At 46.8% G+C, this 14,594-nt stretch overlaps 1 protein-coding gene across 7 annotated transcripts in view, besides 3 other annotated features; it reads left to right on the top strand.

The window, feature by feature from the left end:
* Positions 1 to 14,594, top strand: part of THADA (THADA armadillo repeat containing) — a 365,188-nt gene that overhangs the window by 311,082 nt on the left and 39,512 nt on the right. For all 7 annotated transcript variants that reach the window (NR_073394.2, NR_144316.2, NM_001345924.2 and 4 more), the window contains one exon: positions 5,061 to 5,192. Coding sequence is in view for 5 of the 7 variants with exons in the window: in NM_001345924.2 (NP_001332853.1) it covers positions 5,061 to 5,192 (132 nt within the window). In the remaining 2 variants the exon portion in view is untranslated. The remainder of the gene's footprint in view (positions 1 to 5,060; positions 5,193 to 14,594) is intronic.
* Positions 10,779 to 11,279: an enhancer, noted in NCBI's record as "H3K27ac hESC enhancer chr2:43500817-43501317 (GRCh37/hg19 assembly coordinates)". NCBI's record gives its function as "activates a minimal SCP1, AML or CMV promoter by ChIP-STARR-seq in naive H9 embryonic stem cells {active_cell/tissue: H9 hESC(naive)}" and the evidence as "EXISTENCE:reporter gene assay evidence [ECO:0000049][PMID:30033119]".
* Positions 11,280 to 11,780: an enhancer, noted in NCBI's record as "H3K27ac hESC enhancer chr2:43500316-43500816 (GRCh37/hg19 assembly coordinates)". NCBI's record gives its function as "activates a minimal SCP1, AML or CMV promoter by ChIP-STARR-seq in naive H9 embryonic stem cells {active_cell/tissue: H9 hESC(naive)}" and the evidence as "EXISTENCE:reporter gene assay evidence [ECO:0000049][PMID:30033119]".
* Positions 11,462 to 11,511: an enhancer, noted in NCBI's record as "active region_15668". NCBI's record gives its function as "activates an Ori minimal core promoter by ATAC-STARR-seq in GM12878 lymphoblastoid cells {active_cell/tissue: GM12878}" and the evidence as "EXISTENCE:reporter gene assay evidence [ECO:0000049][PMID:35858748]".

The following is a 14,594-nucleotide window of genomic DNA, read 5'->3' as shown; positions in this document are numbered from 1 at the left end:
CCATGCAAGTTCAAAACCCAGCAGGGCAGTCATTAAATCTTAAAGCTTTAAAATAAATTCCTTTGACTCCATGTCTCACATCCAGGGCATGCTGATGCAGGGAGTGGGCTCCCAAAGGCCTTGTGCAGCTCTGCCCCTGTGGCTTTACAGGGTACAGCCCTTGCAGCTGCTTTCACAGGGTGGTGTTGAGTGCCTGCGGCTTTTCCAGGCACACAGTGCAAGCTGTCGGTGGACCTACCATTCTGGGGTCTGGAGGACGGTGGTCCTCTTCTCGCAGCTCCACTAGGTAGTGCCCCAGTGGGAACTCTGTGTGAGGGCTCTAACCCCACATTTCCCCGTCTATATTGCCCTAATAGAGGTTCTCCATGAGGGCCCCACTCCTGCAGCAGACTTCTGCCTGGACATCTGGGTGTTTTCATCATCCCTCTGAACTTTAGGCAGAGGTTCCCAAACCTCAACTCTTGCCTTTTGCACACCCACAGGCCCAACACCACATGAAAGCCACCAAGGCTTGGGGCTTGCACCCTCTGAAGCAATGGCCCGAGCTGTACCTTGGCCCCTTTTAGTCACAGCTGGAGCTAGAGCAGCTGGGACACAGCGTGCTGTGTCCTGAGGCTGCACAGAGCAGCTGGGCCCTGGGCCTGGCCTAAGAAACCATTTTTTCTTCCTAGGCCTCCTGGCCTTTGGTGGGAGGGGCTGCTGTGAAGGTCTCTGAAATGCCCTGGAGACATTTTCCCCATCATCTTGGCTGTTAACATTCGGTTTCTCTTTTTTTTTGAGATGGAGTTTCACTCTTGTTTTCCAGGCTGCAGTGCAATGGCACGATCTTGGCTCACTGCAACCTCTACTTCCTGGGTTTGAGCGATTCTCCTGCCTCAGCCTCCTCAGTAGCTGGGATTACAGGTGCCCACCACCATGCCTGGCTAATTTTTGTACTTTTAGTAGAGACAGGGTTTCACCATGTTGGCCAGGCTGGTCTTGAATTCCTGACCTCAGGCAATCCACCCATCTCAGCCTCCCAAAGTGCTGGGATTATAGGCATGAGCCACTGCACCTAGCCTTGGCTCCTCTTTACTTATGCAAATTCTGCAGCAGGCTTGAATTTCTTCCCAGAAAATGGGTTTTTCTTTTGTACCACATGGCCAGGCTCCATGCTCTGCTTCACTTTCTTTTAAATGTAAGTTCCAGTTTCAGATAATCTCTTTGTTCATGCATATGAGTGTATACTTTTAGAAACAGCCAGGTCACATCTTGAATGCTTTGCTGCTTACAAATTTTTTCTGCCGGATACCCTCAGTCATCTCTCTCAAGTTCAAAGTTCCACAGATCTCTAGGGCAGGGGCAAAATGCCACCAATCTCTTTGCTAAAGCAGAGCAAGAGTGACCTTACTTCAGTTCCCAATAAGTTCCTCATCTGCATCTGAGAGCACCTCAGTCTGGACTTCATTGCCCATATCACTGTCAGCATTTTGATCAAAACCATTCAACAAGTCTATAGGAAGTTCCAAACTTTCCCACATCTTCCTGTCTTTTTCTGAGCCCTCCAAACTGTTTCAACCTCTGCCCATTACCCGGTTCCAAAGTTGCTTCCACATTTTCAGGTGGAAATGTCTTTATAGCAGTGCTCCACTTCCAGTACCAATTTTCTGTATTGGTCCATTCTCACACTCCTATATAGAACTATCTGAGACTGGGTAATTCATCAAGAAAAGAGGTTTAATTGGCTCACAGTTCCATGGGCTTAACAGGAAGCATGGCTGGGAGGCCTTAGGAAACTTACAATCATGGCAGAAGGCAAAGGGGAAGCAAGGCACAGCTTCCCATGGCAGAGCAGGAGAGTCAGAGAGCAGGGAGAAGTGCCACACACTTTTAAACCATCAGATCTTGTGAGAATTCACTCACTATCATGAGAACAGCAAGGAGGAAATCTGCCTTCAGGATTCACTCACCTCCCACCATCCACTCCAATTCAACATGAGATTTGTGAATCCAAACCATATTAGTATCTTTGGGACGTAAAGGTGGAGATATTTTGAAATTAAATGGATGTACAGATCTTATCTGGTTTCCAGCATGTTGTACACGTCCATGTCTCTCCTCACTGCTACTCCGTGTGTCAAGAGTAATAGGAAAGGGCAGCATGTCAATGATGTATAAGAAAACCAAGCTTGAGAATATCCTAAGGAATTGAAAAGCATAGTTCTTTTTTTAAAATTTTTTAAATTGTGTCATTTTGTTTTTTGTTTTGCTTTTAAGCATAGGGTTTAATAAAAGGAAACCCCAGGTTCTACAGCTGTGCTTCAACCCCAACCCTGCCCTCTCCTGCCATGTTTAATCCCGTATTAACATGCTATGATTCTCTTCTCACCTATTAGTAGAATTATATTTTTGTGTACCTCTTCCATGCCCAGCCCTCAAGAATCAGACATGGTCACTGCCTCCAAGGAGCTTTCAGTATAGTTGTGGAGAAAGGATTTATAGAATAAAGGAAGGAATTGTTTTTTAGATAGTGAGATCCAAATTTTAAATGTTGTAGGAGTTCAGACCAATAAAGGGTCTCCTGTCCCTGTATCTCTCTGGGAGACAACGTTTTCTTCAATATGGTTTTAACTTTTTTCTTCTTAGTGACTTCAGGCATTTTTCTTACAGCCAGAGAGACATTGAGAAGGGACCTTCTGTGAGTGTGATTTAATCATGAGACCCGAAGGAATAAGAGCAAAGGGTGACAAACCTTAGTCAAGCTTCTCCAGTAAAGTTAATACCATTTTGCAGCACATTTTCTGGGTGACTTTAACTACTCAAACCCTAGCTTATAACAGGTAAAATGTGTGTGGAATAACCTGGAATTCTTTTGTGAAATTTGGTCCTGTGCCTACAAGAACATGAGAAATAGGTGCAGTGACTCATGCCTATAATCCTAGCACTTTGGGAGGACGAGGCAGGAAGATCACTTGACCCCAGGAGTTCGAGACCAGCTTGGGCAACACAGCAAGATCTTTTGTCTACAAATAATAAAAAAATTAGCCAGATGTGGTGGTGTACACCTGTAGTTCCAGCTACTCAGGAGGCTAAGGCAGGAGAATTCCTTGAACCTGGGAGGTCGAGCCTGCAGTGTGAGCCATTGTGCCACTGCACTCCAGCCTGAGCAACATAGTGAGACCCCATCTCAATGAAAAAGGTACTGAATAGGTAGAAGCAAAGGACATAAAAGTGCATGAGAGGCCAGGCGTGGTGGCTCATGCCTGTAATCCCAGCACTTTGGGAGGCTGAGGAGGGTGGGTCTACCTGAGGTCAGGAGTTTGAGCCTGACCAACATGGTGAAAACCTGTCCCTACTAAAAATACAAAATTAGCCGGGTGTGGTGGTGCATACCTATAATCCCAGCTACCCGGGAGGCTCAGGCAGGAGAATCACTTGAACCTGGGAGGTGGAGGTTGCGGTGAGCCAAGATTGCCCCATTGCACTCCAGCCTGGGCAACAAGAGTGAAACTTCATCTCAAAAAAAAAAAAAAAAAAGAAGTACATGAGAAAAGTCAAGGGCACAGCAAAGTCATTTAAGGAAAAAGAAAAATTGAAATGGACTAAAGAGGGAAGGATCTGAAGGATATAAATGATGACCATATTAAAGAGGAAAATATTAAGAAAGGAAGGTATTGAACCCTTACAGAACAACTAGAAAGAATGGAGACTGAAAGGCTGAGTAAAATTTAAATCAGATCTGTAATGAAAAGAAGAGAACGAAACCCCAAATGGAGCCACTGTTATTATTGGTATGACTAAAGCATCAGTGACTCTGAAACCAGGTTCTCCATGTACAGATGAGGTAGAGGATAGACAAAGGGGAGTTCTTAGGGAAGGGTAGTTTCTCCATTGAAAGGATGGGGATGCTGCGTGGTGGTCTTCCATGGCCCTCCAGTGATAACCCTCCACAAGCCCAGGCCCACCCCACCTGGACTAGAGGTACCCCTTTCTGGGAGGCCATGCTCACCTCTCACTTTCGTCATGAATTCTGTGTCAGTTACAGCAGTCCACTCTCATCTTTCCTGTTGGGAATCACAGCCACACAATTTTGTTCTTCACAACTCATTGCTTTGTGTTTTTGACTTTATATTCCTTTTGATTGCTCAGGACAAGATACTATCTTTTATTATTCATTGTCCGCAGCAGCACCTAGCACAGGCTGACTAGACAGATCAGTGTCCAGGAGTAATGGCAGTCAGATAGTGGACCCCCTACATACATGGGACACAAGCTGCTGCCTTTATCATGGGTCTCTTTTTTTTGTTGTTGTTGTTGTTTTGTTTTTTGTTTTTTTGGTCGGGAGCGAGGATGGAGTCTCACTCTGTCGCCAGGCTAGAGTGCAGTGGCACGATCTCAGTTCACTGCAACCTCTGCCTCTCAGGTTCAAGCGATTCTCCCATCTCAGCCTCCCAAGTAGCTGGGAATACAGGCGCCCGTCACCACGCCCAGCTAATTTTTGTATTTTTAGTAGAGACGGGGTTTCACCATATGGGTCAGGATGGTCTCAATCTCCTGACCTCGTGATCCACTCTCCTCGTCCTCCCAAAGTGCTGGGATTACAGGCATGAGCCACCACACCTAGCCTCTCTTTTTTTATTCTTGCCCCCAGAGCATAATCTTGATTGATGCTTCACTTTCAGAATTTATAGGCTCAGACACTTGAATCAACACTGGGCTAGTTTCTCCAAAGCAGTCTTATGCATAAAGTTTTCTTCTAGAGAATCAGGACTCAACTAGGAGAGCAGGGCAGAGGGTCTTTGTCACCTGGGCAGCATCTTCTGGAGGCCTTGCCTAGCGCTGGTTGCCTCCGGAAAGCCTACATCCTCACCCCCAAAAAAGGCATTTCCAAATCTGCTCCCTTAGGAGTCTGTCTTTGCCAATGTTTGTCTAACACTCTTTCTATCTTAACAATACCCAGAAAAAAAGAGATAGCTGTAACTCATTCAATGCTCCTCTCTTCCACCAGGGATTTGAAGCAGTATTTGCACCTGCCTGTTAATTGCATTCTAGGTAATTCAGATTCCTTTTGGTCTTCTTAGAGTTGCAGGATACACTTGCTCTCTGGAAGTGTGTCCTTACCCTTCTGCAGAGTGAGGAGCAAGCTGTTAGAGATGCAGCCACGGAAACCGTGACAACTGCCATGTCACAAGAAAATACCTGCCAGTCAACAGGTACCTCGTTCTTATCCTTTTGCATTGTCTTATCGCTGCAGGATAGAGGTTGGAACACTTTTCTATAATGAGCCAGATAGTATCTTAGGCATTGTTGGTCATTTGGTCTGTGTCTCAACTCTGCCATCTTAGTGGGAAAGCCACAAACAGTAGGTAAACAAATGGGCATGACTGTGTTCCAATAAAACTTTGCTTACAAAAATAGGCAGCTTCTCAGATTTGATCTACTAGCCGTAGTTTGCTGACCCCTGCTGTAGGACATCCTAAAGAAAAATTATTTTTAAAGGTAGAAATTTAATAAACTGTTAGGTCTTTTGCTGGTTACGTTGTCATCGGTTTTAAATAATGCCAAGTCTCTATTATCTGTGTGGTTCCATAACTCAGGAATCACAAAACCATCATTTTGTTCCTGAGTTTTTATATGTGACAGAAAGCGAGAAATGATTATGTGTACGTTAAGTTTCTCTACTTTGTGTCCTAGCTGCTCATTTGATAATAACATGAACCCAGGAGGGAGGAGGGGAGTGGAAAGAAGAGCACCCTAGCTGGGTAGTCCTGAGGTCGCAGCCGTCGTATAAGCGGTTACAGCCCCAGGCCCGGGGTCATGTGCATGTAATGGCAAATGCTACGAAAGCTAAAAGGAACTCAGGCTGTGGGTAGAAAATGGGCTGCTGGATGAAAGAGATGGGGGCAGATGGAGTAGAAATAAGGTCACACCTCTGGACAAGTGGCCATCTGGGAGGGTGCCTGCTTTAGCAGACTCGGATTCTCTGTGCTTGGGGCTGGGTGCCAGGAAAGGTCTCTGGATCAGCGGTCCCAATGAGAAGCAAGAACACTGTTTTGAGGCAAGGGATCAAAGCTGAGCAAAGAAGTTCACCTTAATAGACAGCAGAATGAGAGAAAAGGAGGCCAGATAAGCCTTTGTAATTGATGCAAGGCCCCTCATCAGTTACTGTGGCTGGGGCTGCTTGCCAAGGCAGGACACAGGATTGTGTTCCCTGGAAGCCTCCCCAGATGTGTGAACCTTCCAGGATCTGAATCCTCAGTCAAAATGGTCTGTGTACACTTCTCTGCCTATGTGGAAGAAGCTAGTTTTGGAATAATCTCTCAGTGATACCGCACCAGGGCAGGTTTCGCCTAGATCAGCTTTTCCTCTCAGCAGGATAGCATTTGGAACAGAGCTGCAAGTGATATGCAAGCAGGCTCCCCTCAGCCCCCAACCTGCCAGACTTGCCCAATAGCTAAAATTCTGCCATTGGCAATTTATTCATTTTTCCAATTGCAGCATTTGCTTAGAAGGACACACAGAAAGCCTAGTAAGTGTTCGGTAAATATTTGTTGGAATATAATACTCAGTAGATTCCGCACCCAGCCCAGCTTGATTTTCTTAAGCATAAAATATAGATCTTTTTCTTTAGACTGAAAAGTAGCTGAGGACTGAGAATCACCCTGATTTTTTTCTTTAATCAGAAGTTAGGCAATTGATTGATCAGAACAATATTGTCTTGTTTTAGGCCAGGCGCAGTAATCTCACGCCTGTAATCTCAGCACTTTGGGAGGCTGAGATGGGTGGATCACTTGCGGTCAGAAGTTCAAGACTAGCCTGGCCAATATGGTGAAACCCCATCTCTACTAAAAATAGAAAAATTAGCTGGGCATGGTGGCGGGCACCCGTAATCCCAGCTACTCGGGAGGCTGAGGCAGAAGAATCTCTTGAACCCAGGAGGCATAGGTCGCAGTGAGCTGAGATAGTGCCACTGTACTCCAGCCTGGATGACAGAGCAAGACTTCATCTCAAAAAAAAAAAAAAAAAGAACAATATTGTCTTGTTTTACCATCTCTCAAGGATATCAAGTGCTGGTGGTAACTTCACATTCCTTCAGCATATAAGGATTTTGTAGAATACACTGCTGATGTTTTCCTCTTTGGTGTTCCAAGTTAATTACGATTGAATCTTGACTACCTTAAAAGTACACGTTGTTTCTTTTGTCCCCAAATCGGTGGTTGACTAAATGCCACAGTAAAATAACATTATTAAGTTGTGTTAATATTTAATGTCTTCTTTGAGGAGTTAAAATTACAATGAAAAAATTAAAGTTACTTCTCAGTTTTCCTCGAAGAAAGAAATACAACACAAGAGCTCCACACCTCTGAGATCTCCCACTGTCAGTGAGGGATGGATGCAGACAGAGCTCTGCTCTCAGACCGTCTCCTAGCAGCCTGCTGGAGGAGCTTGGGGAAGTAGGAGGTGCATTCTGTGGGGTCTCTCTGGAAAGGGTCTGGAGAGTGGAGTGGGCCCAAAGGAAGGGAGAGATGTGACACAAATGAGAGCAGAACAGTCAATGCAGAAAGAGAAGTTGGAGCCAAAGCCCTGAGTTGGGGAGAACCCGGGAGCTGATTGGGCAGCAGTGAGTGGACTTTTGTGGTCAGAACACAGGCTCAGGCCAGGCAAGGAAGAGGAGCAGGAAATGAACTGAGCAAGGCAGGGGCACTTGCTTGTGGGATGGCTCAGTGCCAAGGCCCGATCTCCTTCTGCAGGTAATGGGAAGCTAGAGAGGGTTTAAAGCAGGAATGAGGTGGGAAGGCACTCAGAGGAGACTGATGTTACCGGAGACATACTTGTGGAATCTCTGGCAGCAGTGTGTGTGATGGGCCAGGGCTGGGGCTGAGTGAGGGGATTTGCCAGGCAGGGAAATCAGCTGGGGGCTGGCAGCAACAGTCCTCTCCAGCTGCTCTCAGTGGGGTTGGGATGGAGAGGAGAGGACTGATGTATGAGAATACTGGTTGGGGGTTGGGTAATCTCAACATGGGGACTGCTGCTGTGGGAGGTGGGAGAGAAGGGAAAGCATGAGGTGACTTCAGAGTTTCAAACCTGTGAGGTGTCCAGGGGAAAATAACAAGGCATGCCTCTGGCACTGATGTAGAAGTCAGACTGTGGCATTCCAGGAAGTGAAACTACCAGGAAATCGGGAAAGGCACTCAGAGGCCACAAGTCACTGTGATCCAGGACAAAGTTTTCCTTAGGTCTTGGAGAGCTCAACATTCGAAATGGAGAGGGCAAAGGGAGACCTTTATCTGCTGTGGGAACAGAATAAACTGTCTGGGTTCTGTCCTGCCTTCCTCAGAACGCAGCACAGCTATCCTGGGATCTCCAGTGCTCCTTAACAGATCTAGTTATCGGTCCCCACGGGCACTTTCTGGAACCTGTAGAATAGGCAAGCATTAAATGCAGTCATTCAGACTTCCTCACCCTAACATATCCTTTTGCATAATTGGCTTTAGGTCTAGATTTGATTAGTTAATGATTCTAGAAGGCCTGGAGAAAATAATGCCATGGTTAGCCGGCCCTCCTGAGAACAGATTTCTTATTCACCTTTTTTGCCTGCTGGAATCTCCTGCACATGCTGCAGCCCACACAGGGAAGCATGAAACTCACAGCCTGTTAACAACTCTCTCCCTGCAATGTCCAAAGCACCCTCAGCCCTTAGAAGTATGGACATCAGGGAGCCCCAGCTGCAGGACCCTCTCTGCCCCTCCCTCCCCACTCTGTACCAATCATGGAGCCTGCAGAAGGGAATGGAAGAAATGACATTTCCAGGACTTAAGAGTAAGGTATTGAAATTTGTAGCTAGGAGAAAAAAAATTTGTGGGCTGGACTCCAGGCAAGGCTCTGCCTTCCTCCTTTCCCTGCTCTGACTTCAGGCCTTGAAATGCTCAGGAAAGAGCTCTAATGCTACAAGAGCAGGAGATGCTCAAGGCTATCTCTGCAGCTCCCCACCCTCTTCCACCAAGCGGCCACTCAGATCTGTTTTATATACCACATCGGGCATTTAATGTCAGATTTCATTTGAACAAAGGCCTCTGTGTGGGAAAAACAACCTGGACAATACTTAACTTTAAATCCTGGCATTTGCATGATTCTTAAGTTAGGCAGAGTTCTGGATGAGAGCAGCAGGAGAGGAACCCATGAAGGTACAAATTTGTGAAGCTGCCTTCAGAGGAAGAGAAGATAAGAAAGGTATCTTAGAAGGTTAGAAAGAATCCAGTGATTGGGGTTCTTCCATAGCCTTTCCTACAAGCCAGGGATACCTGAGCCTTTTCTTTTTGCAGAGCTCTTTCACTCTGATGCAAGTTATCTGGTGTGGCTTAGCTGGAAATACTGCAGAGAGTTAGACCGAAGGACTCCAGGATGGGCTTAAGGATGGCTAGATCAGGAGGTCCCCAGGCAGAACCACATACGTTCCACTTAGCAGAGGCAGGGTGCCTCTGGGAGCTGGATGGGCCATGGGGACAGGGCAGGCAGGGGGATGGCTTTCTGGACTTCCCTCAGGCTTCTTGCTTTTCCTGGCACTGGATCTCCCCCTTTCTTGCTCTTTCGGCTTCAGCCACTATTGGCCACCTAATTTAGATGGCCTCCTCCCATTCCCGTCTCCATTTGTGAGGCTCAGAAAACAGTTTCTGGCCAGGTGCGGTGGCTCACGCATCTAATCCCAGCACTTTGGGAGGCTGAGGTGGGCAGATCACCTGAGGTCAGGAGTTCAAGACCAGCCTGGCCAACATGGTGAAACCCCATTTCTAATAAAAATACAAAAATTAGCTGGGCATAGTGGTGCACATCTGTAGTCCCAGTTACTCTGGAGACTGAGGCAGGAGAATTGCTTGAACCTCGGAGGTGGAATTTTCGCAGTAATGCAGTGAGCCAAGATCACACCACTGCACTCCAGCCTAGGCAACAGAGTGAGACTCCCTCAAAAAAAAAAAAAAAAGAAAAGAAAAGAAAAGAAAGGAAAACAGTTTCTGCTTGAGTTGATACAGGATAAGAGAAGGCACTGAGCAAGGAATTTTAAGGCGTGCCAGATTTCATGCCTGTTGTCAGTGTTTTGGTTCAAGAAGGATGACTTCTTGGTAGAAACTTTCTTATGAAAGAAAATATGTAAGACCTTTAAAGGGGATAGTGGGTAGGCAAGCAGGCAGATCGGCTGTGGCTCTTTTTCTTGGAATACTGTCTCCAAGTAGTTCTGGTCCCTCTCTCCTAGAAGGCCCCTTGCCCACAAAAAGTCATGTAAAACTTCTGCTCATCCTTCCAAATATGGACATTTAGCGGGAATGCATTAAATCCCATCTTCTCGACAGCACCCTTGCCCTCCAGGATCTCCCCATTCCCTGAGCCGCTGCAGCATTTGGTTATTGTATCATCACAGAGCCTTTGCTATTCTACGCTTTTATCATTTTCCCTTTCCTGTGCTTTAGTTCTCTCTTCCCAACTAGCCCTCATGAACTTAGAGACTGTTTTCTATTAGGTACACAGTGGGTGCTCAATTTGTGTTAATGGATTGATTTTTCACCATAGTCAGGTGGCAAAAGAAACATGAGAGTACGCTTTGAAATAAGAAAGCTTCAGAACAAGCAGGCAGACCCTCTCTGCTGGAACCAGCTCAAGGGACAGCGTTTTTCACTGATTCATACCAACTAGGGTGGCAGTCTTGCTGACTCGCACACTGTCCGGGTCTGGTAGGCTGAGTTTGCAGCCTGTAGTGTTGGGTCCCTCCTCACTCTTACCTCTGAAGTCAGGGTCTTGGATTACAGGACCAGAAAGCCAGCCTGGGGCTGCAGGGACCATGCCCCTGGGTTATCTGGGAGACACCAAAGGAGCCTCCTGTGCTTGGCATGGTGACCCATAGAGACTGGAATAACAATGGTGTTTAGGAGGGAGGTGGAAGAGGGGAAGTAGGAGCGAGATGTAGAAAAATGAGACTCAGAGGTTAGAGGAGGGAGCAGTAGGCAAGTGGCATTGTGAGGTTGAGTCCAAGCAGCCATGTAGCCAGGGCAAGGCAAAGAAGGAAAAAAACAACATCTGCACACATGTATACATGTGTGCATCATCGTCACCCACACAGAGCCCGTGAGCCAGCATGAAAGGATGAACACTTCTCATATGCCCCGACCCTTGAGCAAACAGGGAGGGAAGCCTGGGAGGAGAGAGATAGAAAGGCCTGGGTCACTGTGACATTTTCCAGTGGCCCTATGGAGTGAGACAGCTCAGTCAGCAAAGCCCCAGCCCTGTGGGACTTCACACTGAGTCACAGATGATTCCACTCCTGGAACCTCTAAGGCTGCCCACCAGTCTCAGACCCGCAGCAGGCCCTGTGCTTTTTTCAGTTCCTGCCAGATCACAGAGTCAGGCACTAGAAGGGCTCTGCAAGTACTGACTGCCTCCCCCTTCCTCCTGCCTTCCAGTAGGCTCTTTCCTAATCGACTCAGGTATATCGCCTTCAAAGTGCCCTTTCTGCTCTGTGGTGCCAGAGCCTGGCCCCAGACTCAATATTGTAGATGTACCAAGTACCTTTTTCTAAAGAAGAATGACCCAAAAAAGTTAAGAATCACTTTACTAGAATATATCCTCCTACCTATCTCCAAGCCTGGCCTAAATTCCTCTTCAGATGAGTTAAACTTATTTGCCTCCATCATTTCTTTTTCTTCTTTTTTTTTTTTTTGTTGTTGTTGTTGTTGTTGAGACAGAGTTTCACTCTTGGCGCCCAGGCGAGAGTGCAGTGGTGGTGCAATCTCGGCTCACTGCAACCTCCGCCTCCCGGGTTCAAGCGATTGTCCTGCCTCAGCCTCCTGAGTAGCTGGGATTACAGACACACACCACCATGGCTGGCTTATTTTGGTATTTTTAGTAGAGATGGGGCTACTACATGTTGCCCAGGCTGGTCTTGAACTCCTGACCTCAAGTAATCTGCCCGCCTTGGCCTCCCAAAATGCTGGGATTACAGGCATGAGCCACCGTGCCTGGCCATCCATCATTTATATGTGTCTACTTTAAAATTCTAAATTGGGGCTAGGCACAGTGGCACATACCTGTAATCCCAGCACTTTCGGAGGCCGGGGCAGCCAGATCACTTGAGCCCAGGAGTTCAAACCCAGCCTGGGCAACATGGGGAGACCCTGTCTCTTCAAAAAAATTTAAAAATTAGCCAAGTGTAGTGGTGCATGCCTGTGGTTCCAGCTACTGAAGAGGCTGAGGTGGGAGGATCACTTGAGCCCAGAAGGTCAAGGCTACAATGAGCCATGATCATGCTACTGCACTCCAGCCTAGGTGACAGAGTGAGACCTTGTCTCAAAAAAAAAAAAAAAAAAAGCACAAAACCAAAACTCTAAATTGTTTTCTGACCCCTTCTCTTACTCCTACTTAAGATAGTCTATAGATTTTTCTTACTATTTAAGTATGAGATGAGAAGTGGTCAGATCAAGGGTATTCAATCATTCACTTGTTCATTCATTCAACAAATACTTAGAAAGTGCCTGTCCGCCAGGCTTGTTTCATGTGCTAGTCCAAGCCACCACCATCTCTCCCCAGACTTCTACAGCCTGGTCTTCCTGCCTCTATTTTTGTTCGTTGCAATTCAGGCTCACTTCTTCAGGAGTAAAACAGATGATACTGCTCTTCTGCTCAGAACTCTCTCTTGGCTTCCCATCTTAATCTGGGTAAAACCCAGACTCCTAAGGCAACATATAAAATCCTACCCAGTCCAGCCCCTGCCGCTCCTCCCCTAGCCACTCCAGCCATCTTTGGGGTTTTCCAACTCCAGAGCCCATTCCAACCTCAGGGCCTTTGCAGTAGCTGTTCCCTCTGCTTGGAATATTCTTCCCTTGTCCTGCATGGCTGACTCCTTCATATCATTCCAATCTCAGCTTCAGTGTCATCTGCACAGGGGGCCTGCCTTGACCTCTCAGACTACAGTAACCACCCAGTTATTTGCTATCATTCACCCCACTGGTTTAATTATCTGCATAATTTTATTTATTTGTTATTTGTTTCTCTCCACCGGAATAAAAGTTCCAAGAGAGGCCGGGCGTGGTGGCTCACGCCTGTAATCCTAGCACTCTGGGAGGCCGAGGCAAGTGGATCACCTGAGGTCAGGAGTTCGAGACCAGCCTGGCCAACATGGTGAAACCCCTTCTCTACTAAAAATACAAAAATTAGCTGGGCGTGGTGGTGCATGCCTGTAATCCCAGCTACTCGGGAGGCTGAGGCAGGAGAATCGCTTGAACCCAGGAGGTGGAGGTTGCAGTGAGCTGAGATTGCACCACTTCACTCCAGCCTGGGCAAAAGAACGAAACTCTGTCAAAAAAAAAAAAAAAAAAAAAAGTTCCAAGAGTGTAGGATTTTTGTCTTGTTTGTTTGCTGCTATATTCTCAGAACTTGGCACATAATAGATTCTCAATAAGAATCACTGTTTGATGATCAATTGAATGAATGAATTGAGGAATGTATCTATCAAAGTAGTTAAACCCAGTAAGAAGCTTAGTGTTTTTCAGATCTACCTGGTGGGGGAGCTGTTTGGATTTTATGTTATGAAATTGCCCTGAGGTCACAGCATTTTCTTATTATGGCAGATTAAATCGCCTGCCTTAGTCCTGACTTCTTCCTAGAGACATTAATTCAAACAGCTGATGAGGAACTGATGAAGCATCTACTAAGACTGGCCACTGTAGAAAATCCTGGACTAACTCTGTGTCTCCCTTGTCACTCCATACTGGATCATGCAGGATGGAATTTCTTGAGCAAGAGTTTCATCCATAGGGACCCACATGCCTAGCACAGGGCCGGCCCTGGGAAGTGCCCAGCAGGTGGATACTTGTCAGTTGCTTATCAGGTCCCAGGTGAGAGACCAGAGCCAAGGCTACATGAATCGATCTGGAAGGCCTAGGGGAGGTGGCCCCTTCCTCCCAGAGCCCCGTCTGCTCTTTCCCACTCTGAGCAGGCCAGTGGGGGGACAGGGGAAGGAGAACCTCATCACCTCCCTCTTGATGCTCCTGTTTCATTTTATCCCCTTTGATCCTCACAACACTGTGAGATACTTTATTATTTCCTCCATTTTATTTATATTTTTATGTTTTTAAAGGTGGGGTCTCATGGCATCACTCTGGCTGGAGTACTGGTGGCTGTTCACAGGCACACTTGTAGCTCACTGCAGTCTTGAACTCCTGGGCTCAAGGGATCCTCCCACCTCAGCCTCCTGAGTAGCTGGGATTATAGGGACCTACTATACTTCCTCCATTTTAAATGTGAATATGCAGAAGTTCAGAGAGTTGAAGGAATGGGCCCAACGTCCCAAGGCAGATAAGTGTCAGAGCCAGAGTTGGAGCTCCGGCCCCTGTGGTGACAGAGGCCTTGCACTCTCAGATCCTCTCTGAGACAGGGAAAGGAGTCCAAACCTGGCATCTAGTTTAGAACCCAGGAGTTAAGAGAAAGGGGTGCATTGAAGGTCTTCTAAACTCACTGTTGTGTTTGAAAGAAGACACTGGAGTCAGAGTGTAAGAAAATGGGTTGGGGACCAGAGCTGAGATACCAGAGTGTGCCCTGGGGAAAGGGAATAGAGGGCAGATGCAGCAAGA

This window comes from Homo sapiens, chromosome 2, assembly GCF_000001405.40.
Source record: "Homo sapiens chromosome 2, GRCh38.p14 Primary Assembly".
Classification (NCBI taxonomy): Eukaryota; Metazoa; Chordata; class Mammalia; order Primates; family Hominidae; genus Homo; species Homo sapiens.
This window is presented reverse-complemented; position numbering and strand designations above follow the sequence as displayed.